The sequence below is a fragment of the Homo sapiens genome, chromosome 7 (genome assembly GCF_000001405.40).
Source record: "Homo sapiens chromosome 7, GRCh38.p14 Primary Assembly".
In the NCBI taxonomy this organism is placed as follows: Eukaryota; Metazoa; Chordata; class Mammalia; order Primates; family Hominidae; genus Homo; species Homo sapiens.
Genome location: NC_000007.14, coordinates 73,208,543 through 73,220,592, shown reverse-complemented (window position 1 = coordinate 73,220,592; position 12,050 = coordinate 73,208,543). Strand labels below are relative to the sequence as shown.

Below are 12,050 nucleotides of genomic sequence, written 5' to 3'. Positions count from 1 at the left end.
CTGGAAAGAGGAAGTCGCTTTTGTCGCGGTCGGGACAGGGGGCAGGGAGGGTACAGAAAGGGCTTTGCTTCTTCTTTCAGTTTCTGGGGACTCTTCAGGCTTGCAGGGTGTAAACATGGGCAGACTCATGTTCACACACACCTGCAGGGACAAGGAAAAGGGTTTACACTTGTCCTTCCCGTCGCCTGCACGGGCCCCACGGGTTTTGGGGGTGAATCAAGCTGCTCCTGCCTCAGGGCCTTTGCATTTGCTGCGTCCCCTTGACCATCTTTCCCCCCTTGACCATATTCCTGGTCTTGACCATGTTCCCCCCATTCACCATCTTCCCTCCATAACTCTCCTCCATTTCTCTGCTCAAATGTCACCTCTTCCGAGAAGCCTTCCTTGATAACTTCACATTGCATAGCAAACCTCATACCTTTCTCAGCCTCTTCCTGCCTCCTTTTTCTGCAGAGCACTTATCACTGATGCATCGCAAATTGCATTTAATTTTTCTTTATTATTATTGCTATTGTTATTTGAGACAGGGTCTTGCTTTGTTATCCAGGCTTAAGCGCAGTGGTGGGATCACAGTTCACTGCAGCCTCCAACTCCTGGGCTCCAGCGATCCTCCTGCCTCAGCCTCTGGAGTAGCTGGGACTACGGGTGTGTGCCACCATGCCCGGTTAAATTTTTTTTAATTTTTTTGTACAGACAGGGTCCTGCTATGTTGCCCAGGATGGTCTCAAACTACTGGCCTCTAGTGATCCTCCTGCCTCTGCCTCCCACTTTTTTTTTTTTTGAGATGGAGTCTCGCTCTTGTTTCCCAGGCTGGAGTGCAATGGCGCGATCTCGGCTCACCGCAACCTCTGCCTCCTGGGTTCAAGCAATTCTCTTGCGTTAGTCTCCTGAGTAGCTGGGATTACAGGCATGTGCCACCACACCTGGCTAATTTTTTTTTTTTTTTTTAATTAGAGACTGGGTTTCTCCATGTTGGCCAGGCTGGTCTTGAACTCCTGACCTCAGGTAATTCACTCGCCTCGGCCTCCCAAAGTGCTGGGATTCAGGCATGAGCCACCGTGCCTGGCCTGACTTAATTTTTTTAGTCTCCCCTTACCACAATGTGTGTCCCAGGAAAGCTAGGGCATGACCGGGTTATCAGGGGCTCTAGCCCCAGCCCCTCCAGCTAGTGCCTGGCACACAGAGGCCATAAATATTTGGATCGTGACTGCAACATTCACTGAGTGAATGAATGAGTGAGTGAATGAATGAATGAGTCAATGAATGAGTGAATGAATGAATGAATGAGTGAATGAACGCGGGCATGGGAGTGTGCATGCAAGCGTTAGATGCTCATCCTTGGGTGTGTGTGGATGAGGGCCAGTGACAGCTGGGACGAAAATGGCACAGACTTTGAGTGAGACTTGAGTTCCAATCCTCAAGTAAGCAAATGGTTCATTGAATTGTTCCTTAGGGCTGACTCAGTTTTCTCCAGAGTGATATTAAGACTGTCAGCTTTGCCAGGAAGGGGATTTGGGACAAAGAGGTGAGGAGGGGGCAGCATGCCCAGGGACAGGCTGAGGCCTCTCTCTCCCACTCCCCCTAGAGCCTGGGAGGCCCAGAGCTTTTGGAGCTCATTCAAGGTCATGAGTTCATGAGTGGTGGGCCTCAGCCCCAGGCAGCCTGCTGCAGCCTGTGCCTCCCAGCAGGCCAGGGCTGCACCAACTCACCCTTGCCTGAGTCCAGGGTCAGCTCGTGGTCCGGACCTGATCTCCTGGGGGTGAGGGTTGAGGTCTGGCAGATGAAAGCCAAGACATGCTGGGCGTTAATTTATTTGTTTGAAGCGAAGTTTCGCTCTTGTTGCCCAGGCTGGAGTGCAGTGGCACAATCTCGGCTCACTGCAACCTCTGCCTTCCAGGTTCAAGCGATTCTCCTGCCTCAGCTTCCCAAGTAGCTGGGATTATAGGTGTGCGCCACCACGCCTGGCTAATTTTGTATTTTTAGTAGAGAAGGGGTATCACCCTGTTGGCCAGGCTGGTCTTGAACTCCTGAGCTCAGGAGATCCACCCGCCTCAGCCTCCCAAAGTGTTGGGATTACAGGCATGAGCCACTGTGCCTGGCCCTTTTTTTTTTTTTTTTTTTTTTTTTTAAAGACAGGGTCTCTATCTGTCACCCAGGCTGGAGTGCAGTTGCCTGGTCATAACTCACTGCAGCCTCCAACTCCTGGGCTCAAGCAGTCCTCCTGCCTTGGCCTCCCCAGTAGGTTGGGACTACAGGCACATGCCACCACACCTGGCCTGTTCCTGCTTTTATTATCCAGTGCATTTATTATCCAAGAGGTGTAGGGTCCACTCCACCTGCTCTGAAAGATTTGCTTGGCAAGTGCTTCACTTCTTTTTTTCTTTTTTTTTTTTTTGAGACAGAGTCTCTTTCTGTCCCCCAGGCTGGTATGCAGTGGCATGATCTCGGCTCACTGCAACCTTCACCTTCCGGGTACAAGCAATTCTCCTGCCTCAGCCTCCCAAATAGCTGGGATTACAGGCGTGCACCACCACGTCCGGCTAATTTTTTGTATTTTTATAGTGATGGGGTTTCACCAAATTGCCCAGGCTGGTCTCGAACTCCTGACCTCAAGTGATCTGCCCGCCTCGACCTCCCAAAGCGCTGGGATTACAGGAGTGAGCCACTGCACCCGGCCTTCACTTCTCTATAGAGAAGAAAGCTCACATCACCCGCCGGCACCTGCTCCTTCTGGTCCTTACTGTCCCCCACCTCCACCCTGAGGTCCCCAGCCCTGGGTGTGAACGGCCTTGCCAGCCCTTCCTATGATGATTTCCATCTGTGTATCTTGGATCTTTCCATGAAGAGAGATAGGCATTTGCAACAGGATCTACTCAGCAATGACAAGGACCTGTCCCACAGGGCGACACAGTGGAATCTTCCAGATACATCACTGACGGAAGGAAGGCAGGCACAGAGCACATGTTCTGGAGGATGTCATTTATACGAGGCTTGAAAACTGCCCAAGCCAGGCTGTGGTGTTGGAAGCCAGGGTGACCTCTGGAATGATGGTGGGGACAGTGGTGACAGGAGAGAGCGGGAGGTGGTGGGCGATGTTTGCCTCCTCTCCAGATAGATGCTAGTTCCACAAGTGGGGCCAGGTGCGGTGGCTCATGCCTGTAATCTCAGTACTTTGGGAGGCCGAGGCAGGTGGATCACCTGAGGTCAGGGGTTCGAGACCAGCGTGGCCAACATGGTGAAACCCCGTCTCTACTAAAAATACAAAATTAGCCAGGCGTGGTGGCACATGCCTGTAATCCCAGCTACTCAGGAGGCTGAGGCAGGAGAATTCGCTTGAACCTGGGAGGCAGAAGTTGCGGCGAGCTGAGATTGCACCATTGCACTCCAGCCTGGGCAACAAGGACAAAACTCCATCTCAAAATAAAATAAAATAAAATAAAATAAAATAAAATAAATAAAATAATTAGCTGGGCATGGTGGCATGTGCCAGTAGTCCCAGCTACTTGGGAGGAGGCTGAGGCAGAAGGACTCCTTGAGCTCAGGAGTTCAAGGCTGCAGTCAGATAAGTTCAAGGTCATTGGTAGGGTGGTCCCGCAGCTCAGGCACTGGGCTCACCCGCTGAAAGTTGTGTGCTCTCCTGTAATTTTTCTATCAACACCCCTTCCCTGACACTCAATTTGTCTCTCATCTTCCCTGTCAAATGCCTCCTCGAAAGGCCCAGCATGGTAGCCAGGCATGGTGGCTCATAGCTCTAATCCCAGAACTTTGGGAGGCTACGGTGGGCGGATCACCTGAGGTCAGGAGTTCAAGACCAGCTGGCCCAACATGGTGAAACCCAGTCTCCACTAAAAATACAAAAATTAGCTGGGCATGGTGGCACACACCTGTAATCCCAGCTACTCCGGAGGGTAAGACAGGAGAATCACTTGAACCAGGGAGGTGGAGGTTGCAGTGAGCCGAGATCCTGCCACTGCACTCCAGCCTGGGAAGCAGAGTGAGATTCTGTCTCAGGAAAAAAAAAAAAAAAAAGGCTCAGCACAGAGGCCAGACCTGCAGCGGTGCTCTCCTGGGCATGTCGAGGCAGGGCAGAGGAAGGTTCTAGTGGGGCTGGTTGTAAGCAGAGAATTTTGTGGGCTCTCGGCACTTCCTTCCCTTCCTCTAGCGGTCTTTCCACACTTGCGTAACTGCCTGGCCAAGGGTACTTGTCCTGTGGACACCCTGAGCCCCTGGCTGTGATCTTTCAACTCTCCTCCTGTGGCCTCCCAAGACCCTGTTATGTTCCCTCAAAGTGCTCTGCAGACAGGAGGTATCCAGCAAGTTTGTTGGATGAGCAGAGGCAGGAAGCGCTCTGAACTTGAGTTTGACCTTGTAATGACCTCTGTAAGCAGGCTTACAGCCTTTTTTCAGGATGACATAGGATTTTTTCCACTTTTTATTTATTATTATTATTATTATTATTTTTTTTTTTGTAGAGACGGGGTCTCGAGATGCTGCTCGGCCTGGTCTCAAGCTCCAGTATCAAGTGGTCCTCCCACCTCAGCCTCCCAAAATGCTGGGATTACAGGCATAAGCCACTGTGTCTGGCCAGGATTTAATTTAATGCATGGATGAAACAAGGTACCAAATAATTTTTTTAATTAAAAAAAAAAAGATAGGTGCAGTGGCTCATGCCTGTAATTCCAGCACTTTGGGAGGCCAAGGTGGGTGGGTCATCTGAGGTCAGGAGTTCGGGACCAGCTTGGCCAACACGGTGAAACCGGGTCTCTACTAAAAATAAAAAAATTAGCCAGGCATGGCATTGCAAGCCTATAATCCCAGCTACTTGGGAGGCTGAGGCAGAAGAATCGCTTGAACCTGGGAGGCAGAGGTTGCAGTGAGCCGAGATCACACCACTGCACTCCAGGCTGGGTAACAGAGTAGACTTGGTTTCAAAAAATAAATAAATAAAATAAAATAAAATAAAGTTAAGGAAGGAAGTAATAAAGAGATAAGAGAGTTTTTTCAGGGGAAGGAAATAGAATTTCTAAAAATGTTTGTATTGTGAAATATGTAGAAAACCACATCTCTTACCTAATTATTATAAAGGAGACAGCTGGTGAACCATCACTGGGTGTTAGAACAATACCAGGGCCCCAAGAATTCCCCCACGTCCCGAGTGCTAATAGGAAGGGCCCCCCGCACCCCGCCGCCCTGCCCTACGTCAGGCACTATTCTAGGTGCTTTCTATTTATGACCGTATCTTCTCCTCACAAGGAGGCTGTCAGGGAGTGGGTACAATTTTCCCCACTTCACAGATGGGAAAACAGAGAGGAAAACAGATTGCCACAGCTGGTATATGCAGAACTGGGATTTGTTTTGTTTTTGTTTTGAGACAGAGTCTTGCTGTGTCACCCAGGCTGGAGTGCAGTGGCGCAATCCTGCCTCACTGTAACCTCCGCCTCCCTGGTTCAAGAAATTCTGTGCCAGCCTCCCGAGTAGCTGGGATTACAGGCTCGTGCCACCACGCCCGGCTAATTTTTGTATTTTTTGTAGAGATGGGGTTTCACCATGTTGCCCAAGCTGGTCTCGAACTCCTGACCTCAAGTGATCTGCCTGCCTCGGCCTCCCAAAGTGCTGGGATTACAGGCATGAGCCATCGCGCCAGGCTAGAACCGCGATTGAACTTGGGCAGTCTGGACCCAGGCCCATGATTTAACTGTTGCACTCTCATGCCTTGCCCTTGAACAATGTGAATGAATGAATGAATGAATGAGTGGGGGTAGGGGGCTCATGAGGAAGGCTCTCACCTCAAGCCAGGCTGGCAGGGAGTGGGGGCTTCCAGGTCTGAGCTGCCAGTCCTGGCCTTTTTCCAAATGTCACCTTCTCCGCCCTCAGGCCACTTGGCTTTCCCCAGATGGGCTGAGCTCGCTATTTCTTTAACCAGGAAATCCCCAAGGCCAGGCCAGTGGGTACCATATCAGGAGAAAGGCGACTTGGCATCAGGGCATGGGACCCACGCAGTGCCCTCTGGGACATTTTATCAGGAGAGGGAATCTAGCAGTTCCCAGGACTGGAGCAAATCAGCCTTTGGGTGGGACAGTTCTTTCCCAGATCTAACCTAAGCCTCTCCTGCTGCCTCTTCTTGAGCGAGTGACAGCCAGGATCCATCCCCTTGGACAGCCCTGGGTGACCGTCTCCTGGGCCAGCCCACAGGACCAGCTCTCCCTCCTGCCTAGGGCAGCAGGATGGGCCCCAAGGTACCTATGACGCTGGCTCTGTGTGACCGACCCTGTATTGGCAGGCAGGTGTCAATAGGCAGAAACGCTGGCCACTCCAGCCTTGGCCAACATGGTGAACCCCATCTCTACAAAAAATACAAAAATTAGCTGGGCATGGTGGCAGGTGCTTGTAATCCCAGCTACTCAGGAGGCCGAGGCAGGAGACTCTCTTGAACCCGGGAGGCGGAGGTTGCAGTGACCCGAGATCGTGCCACTGCATTCCAGCCTGGGAGACAGAGTGAGTGAGACTCCATCTCAAAAAAAAAAAGCAAAGAAGAAAGTGGGCCACTCGCTGCCTCCCCAGAGACCCATCTTCCTTTATCAGCCAAATCACCTGCGCTGGGCTCTGCTTGGCAGGGGTGGACCCTGAGGCCTCGGCAGAGGGGAATCAGGGACCTGCCCTTGGGAGACTGTCCCAGGACACACCTGAACCACACCCCTGGGAATTCCCTTCTCCCCTAGACCTGATCTCCAGCCCTTGGCCTAGGGACACAAGAGAATGGGCTCCAGGCCCCAGGCATTCAACTCAGGGGAGTCAGACGGAGACCCAGGCCCCGTGGGGAGACGTGCAGGCTGACGGCTGAGCTGTGCACGTGGCTGAAGCTCCCTGAGCCTCTGTCTTTTCATCTGTGAAATGGCACTGACCACTGTACCCACTTCATGGGCTGCCGTGAGGATTAAATAGGGTCAAGTACTAGGGTGGCAAACGTTGGCCATCACCAGATGCAAACTGCGCAGGGGCTGCCTCCAAGGTGCGGGGCAGGGAAATTGCCAGGTAGGAGGCAGGGAGGCTTCTTGCTGTTTAAATTGAGCTTTGAATGAAGAAAATGTCACATGAAGGACAGCAGGCACCCCAAGTTGCTGGGACCACCGGCCCGGGGCTCTGACAGTGGAGCAGTCTCATGATGTCCCTTGGAGAGCTTGTCTGGGTGTGGTGCAGCTGTGTGGGTGGCCTGGAAGCCTTCCCTGACACGGCCAGGCTGACAGTAACCAAGCCCATGGACAGGCTGGGTCTGTCCCCACTGCACTGCACTGTGGCTTCTGGCCCAGCTCCAGGCACGACATGGGCCCTCATCAAATATGCACCACAGGAATGGGGACCTTCCAAGCCAGCCCCACCCCCCGCGGGAGCCCCACTTCTGTGCTCAGGGGCCCAGTTGCCCTCTGCCACCCAGGAAGGCTATAAACTCCGCAGTGCACCACCACCCCCAGGGGCTTTGGTGAAATTTTTTTTTTTTTTTTTTTTGAGGCAAAGTCTCACTCCGTTGCCCAGGCTGCAGTGCAATGGCGCAGTCTCGGCTCACTGCAACCTCCAACCTCCTGGGTTCAAGCAATTCTCCTGCCTCAGCCTCCTGAGTAGCTGGGATTACAGGTTTCCGCTACCACACCCGGCTAATTTTTGTATTTTTAGTACAGACAGGATTTCTCCATATTGGCCAGGCTGGTCTCGAACTCCTGACCTCAGGTGATCCGCCCGCCTCGGCCTCCCAAAGTGCTGGGATTATAGGCGTGAGCCACTGCACGTGGCCGATGGTGATTTCTGTACACTTGAAACAAATTTCAGTAATGAGGAAATCACATCCTAAGCACCAGCCAGTCACTGGGTCTGGAGTGGCCGTTTCCACATCTCCCCAGCTCCAAGCAGCACAGTGAAGTCAGTGGTGGTGCGGTCCCTCTGGGACTCACTGAGGGCCAGGCCCCTGTGCCACTTCCCAGGAGAGATCTGGGACAGTCGCTAAGTCACACAGGCCTGGAGTTGGGGGCGGCACACCTGCAGACAGGTGGGACCTGTAGACGTGGCTTTCTCGGTGAGGGGTTACCCAGGCGCAGAGGCACCGCAGAGCCCCATCATGCAGGAGGACAACCTTGTCACCTCCATGGGACTGAAGCTCATCTTCCGCGGGCCAGAAAAAGAAACTTGGGGCTGTGGTGTCAACACTTGCCACAGCTTCCTGAACATGCACCCCAGGTTCCCTGTTCCGGCCTTGTCTTTTTGGAGACCTGCAGTGACTGCTGTTTATCCAGGGGTTTCCCCTGAAGGGTGTGGGCACCATACAGGAGGGGACAGTTTTAGTGTCAATCGGGACAGGAGTTCAACAGGTCCTTTGGATGCAGCTAGAGCTAGACCTTCTCAGCCTGTGGCATTTGGGGCTCTGGGAGGTGTGCCCTCTGCTCTGTCGCTGGCCCTACCTGTGTCCACCAAATCGCCCTCACACCTCTGGAGGGGTCCTCCTGGGTGGGTCCTTACTGCTTTATGTAGCCTGAGGAACGAGCAACCTTGAGCCCCCGCAGGAAGCGGATGCCACAGCAAGCCCTGCTATTGCTTCTGGGGAGGAAGTCAGGCAGGAAACACCTTCCCCAGCTGGGCTTGCCTCACAAGAGATGTCAGAGCCAGCTTTCCCAACACTTCCTCAAAATTAAGGTGCGGTGCCAGGCGCAGTGGCTCACGCACGCCTGTAATCCCAGAACTCTGGGAGGCCAAGGCAGGTGGATCACTTGAGGTCAGGAGTTCGAGACCAACCTGGCCAACATGGGGAAACCCGTCTCTACTAAAAATACAAAAATTAGCTGGGTGTGGTGGTGGACACCTGTAATCCCAGCTACTCGGGAGGCTGAGGCAGGAGAATAGCTTGAACCTGGTAGGCAGAGGTTGCAGGGGGCAGAGATTGCACCACTGCACTCCAGCCTGGGCCACAGAGCGAGACTCCATCTTGGAAAAAAAAAAAAGAGTTAAGATGGGGTAGGGGTGCAGGGGGCAGGTAAGGAGGGACCTCGAGGCGGCTGGGGGGACAAAAGCATGGGCCTCAGTCTGGGCTTGGTTTTTAGCCCAGTTCCCAGGATGAGAAGGCCCCTCTGGTGCAGCCACACCAGGTCCACCTGCCCTTTGTCACCGATGGGCCACTAGGACCCTAGGGACCTGTGATTTCTTTTTTTTGAGACGGAGTCTCGCTCTGTCACCCAGGCTAGAGTGCAGTGGTGCGATCTCGGCTCACTGCCAGCTTGGCCTCCCAGGTTCACGCCATTCTGCCTCAGCCTCCCGAGTAGCTGGGACTATAGGCGCCCAGCACCATGCCCGGCTAATTTTTTGTATTTTTAGTAGAGACGGGGTTTCACCGTGCTAGCCAGGATGGTCTCGATCTCCTGACCTCATGATCCGCCCGCCTCGGCCTCCCAAAGTGCTGGGATTACAGGCCTGAGTCACCGTTCCCGGCCAGGGACCTGTGATTTCTACAACTGGCTGAAAGCTGCATCCAGTCTGCCCTGTGAGCCAGGTGAGTGGGCAGCCGTGGGTGAAGTACAGAGAGCCAGGGCTCCCTTCCCACCGTGGATCCAGGCAGGATCTGAACTCCAGGCAGGGGAAGTGATGCTTTTGAGAGTAAAGAAAGGCCCCACAGCCCTGTTTGCGGTCATCCCCCTGGACTCGCAGGTCTAAGGACAGGGACAGCGGCCTCCAGGTCACCTCCATTCCTAAAATCCGTCCCCTTCCTCTTTCCCCATCATAGGGAAACTGAGGCACTTTGGGAGAACATCAGATCCTCAAAACACATCCAAGTCCAGAAACTGGGGCTTCCATTTAGGAAGATGAGCAGCGACCTTCCAGAAGATGGAAGTGGTTACTGGGCAGTGACTTTCCAAAAGATGCCCCTTTGGTGTGTAACAATTATCTGCCCCCGAATGGTCAAGCCCACCAGGTGCCTTGAATTTACTAAGACCAGCACTTAGAGTGTAATGTGGAAACTAGAAAGGCCTGGTCCCTCGATCTTCCTCTCTGGTGGAACTTTTGGTCTTTGGAGAAAAAACAAAAACAAAAACAAAAAAACAGAAATGGGAACCAGGAGGAGGCTCAGAAAAACCAAACTACAGCCAGGCACAGGGGCTCATGCCTGTTATCCCAGCACTTTGGGAGGCTGGGGCGGGCGGATTGCTTGAGGTCAGGAGTTCCAGACCAGCCTGACCAACATGGAGAAACCCCATCTCTACTAAAAATACAAAACTAGCCAGGTGTGGTGGCACATGCCTGTAATCCCAGCTACTCGGGAGGCTGAAGCAGGAGAATCGCTTGAACTGGGAGGTGGAGGTTGCGGTGAGCTGAGATCGTGCCATTGCACTCCAGCCTGGGCAACAAGAGCGAAACTCTGTCTCAAAAAATAGAGAGAGAGACCAACCTACTTCAAAATGGAACTGGCGGCTGGCTCTATATGAGTTTCAGGTCCTAGGGGACCACAGACCCAGGTCCAAGTTGCATCCTCAAGCTTCTGAATAAGACTGGGGCAACAACGTCCTCATCTATACAGTTCCAGAACAGTCTCCCAGACCTCACTTTACATGTCAGCTGACTTAAACCAATTAGAAGATTAAGGCATCATGTAATGTGCTAACTCTGATGTGCGCTGATGGCCTGGGAGGGACGGGGGTGGGGACAGGCAAAGGCGAAACCTTCTCACGAGCAGATGACAACTGCCAGCTCTAGCATTTGAGAGCGGATGCGTCCCTGGCCATTCCCGCAGGACCTCCCTCCAGGGACAAAGCTTTGGTTTCCTCCCCACTGAGGACCAGGGGCTTGGAATGGGAGTTGTCACTTGGCAATCAGCAGGCAGGGTTTAATTCATACAGTCCTGGGAGGGAGACATTTCCTTGCTTTTACTGTTTTTCTGATAAAAATGTCCCCTATATAATGGCTGTCCAGAAGTGGATTTGTTCTTAGTCACTCTACTGCCTTACCTGGGAAGTAATTATGTTTGTCCCTTGAATTATTATGAAATCAGGAGGCGGCCGGGTGTGGCGGCTCATGCCTGTAATCCCAACACTTTCGGAGGCCGAGGTGGGCAAATCACGAGGTCAGGAGATCGAGACCATCCAGGCTAACATGGTGAAACCCCATCTCTACTAAAAATACAAAAAATTAGCTGGGCGTGGTGGCAGGCACCTGTAGTTCCAGATACTCTGGAGGCTGAGGCAGGAGAATCGTTTGAATCCAGAAGGCAGAGGTTGCAGTGAGCCGAGATCGCACCATTGCGCTCCAGCCTGGGCGACAGAGCCAGACTCCATCTCAAAAAAAAAAAAAAAAAAAAAAATCAGGAGGTTTTTGTTTTTTTGAGACAGAGTTTCACTCTGTCACGCAGGCTGTAGTGCAGTGGTGTGATCTTGGCTCACTGCAGCCTCCGCCTCCCAGGTTCAAGCAATTCTCTCCTACCTCAGCCTCCCGAGTAGCTGGGATTACAGGTGTGCACTACCACAGTCGGCTAATTTTTGTATTTTCACTAGAGACGAGGTTTCACCATGTTGACCAGGCTGGTCTTGAGCTCCCGACCTCAAGTGATCTGCCCTCCTTGGCCTCCCAAAGTGCTGGAATTACAGGCGTGAGCCACCGCGCCCGGCCAAGGAATCAGTTGTTTCAGAAACAAGAGCTTATTAGATACACTGAAGAGACCTACTTGAACTATATTTTGCTTTTTCAATCCAGAATACCGGGCTAACGAAGATTTTACTGGACAAGTTTAACTTCCCCTTCACCCTCTGAACAATCACACTATCTGCCTTTTAGAAATGCACTGCCTGAGGCTGGGTTTGGTGGCTCACACCTGTCATCCCAGCACTTTGGGAGGCCGAGGCAGGTGGATCACTTGAGGTTGGGAGTTCGAGACCAGCTTGGCCGACATGGGGAAACCCCGTCTCTACTAAAAATACAAAAATTAGCCGGGCATGGTGGCAGGTGGCCATAATCACAGTTACTGGGGTGGCTGAGACAGGAGAATCTCGAACTCAGGAGGCGGAGGTTACAGTGAGCCAAGA

The 12,050-nt window shown here is 52.7% G+C and overlaps 7 annotated features.

The window, feature by feature from the left end:
- Window positions 1-12,050: part of a biological region, named in NCBI's record as "Williams-Beuren syndrome centromeric block B recombination region", that runs on past both edges of the window. NCBI's record gives its function as "recombination_partner: LOC106029312".
- Window positions 1-12,050: part of a non allelic homologous recombination region, noted in NCBI's record as "sub-region SSN3-SSN6, recombines with sub-region SSN3'-SSN6' within the WBS medial block B recombination region", that runs on past both edges of the window. NCBI's record gives the evidence for it as "EXISTENCE:restriction fragment detection evidence [ECO:0001124][PMID:12796854]".
- Window positions 1,727-2,228: an enhancer, noted in NCBI's record as "H3K4me1 hESC enhancer chr7:72632401-72632902 (GRCh37/hg19 assembly coordinates)". NCBI's record gives its function as "activates a minimal SCP1, AML or CMV promoter by ChIP-STARR-seq in naive H9 embryonic stem cells {active_cell/tissue: H9 hESC(naive)}" and the evidence as "EXISTENCE:reporter gene assay evidence [ECO:0000049][PMID:30033119]".
- Window positions 3,519-4,020: an enhancer, noted in NCBI's record as "H3K27ac hESC enhancer chr7:74591313-74591814 (GRCh37/hg19 assembly coordinates)". NCBI's record gives its function as "activates a minimal SCP1, AML or CMV promoter by ChIP-STARR-seq in primed H9 embryonic stem cells {active_cell/tissue: H9 hESC(primed)}" and the evidence as "EXISTENCE:reporter gene assay evidence [ECO:0000049][PMID:30033119]".
- Window positions 4,021-4,520: an enhancer, noted in NCBI's record as "H3K27ac hESC enhancer chr7:74591815-74592314 (GRCh37/hg19 assembly coordinates)". NCBI's record gives its function as "activates a minimal SCP1, AML or CMV promoter by ChIP-STARR-seq in primed H9 embryonic stem cells {active_cell/tissue: H9 hESC(primed)}" and the evidence as "EXISTENCE:reporter gene assay evidence [ECO:0000049][PMID:30033119]".
- Window positions 9,604-10,827: a meiotic recombination region, noted in NCBI's record as "meiotic double-strand break mapped by DNA meiotic recombinase 1 chromatin immunoprecipitation followed by single-stranded DNA enrichment and sequencing in the germ cells of some male individuals with the PRDM9 AC genotype". NCBI's record gives the evidence for it as "EXISTENCE:chromatin immunoprecipitation-seq evidence [ECO:0000229][PMID:25395542]".
- Window positions 10,679-11,180: an enhancer, noted in NCBI's record as "H3K4me1 hESC enhancer chr7:74598481-74598982 (GRCh37/hg19 assembly coordinates)". NCBI's record gives its function as "activates a minimal SCP1, AML or CMV promoter by ChIP-STARR-seq in naive H9 embryonic stem cells {active_cell/tissue: H9 hESC(naive)}" and the evidence as "EXISTENCE:reporter gene assay evidence [ECO:0000049][PMID:30033119]".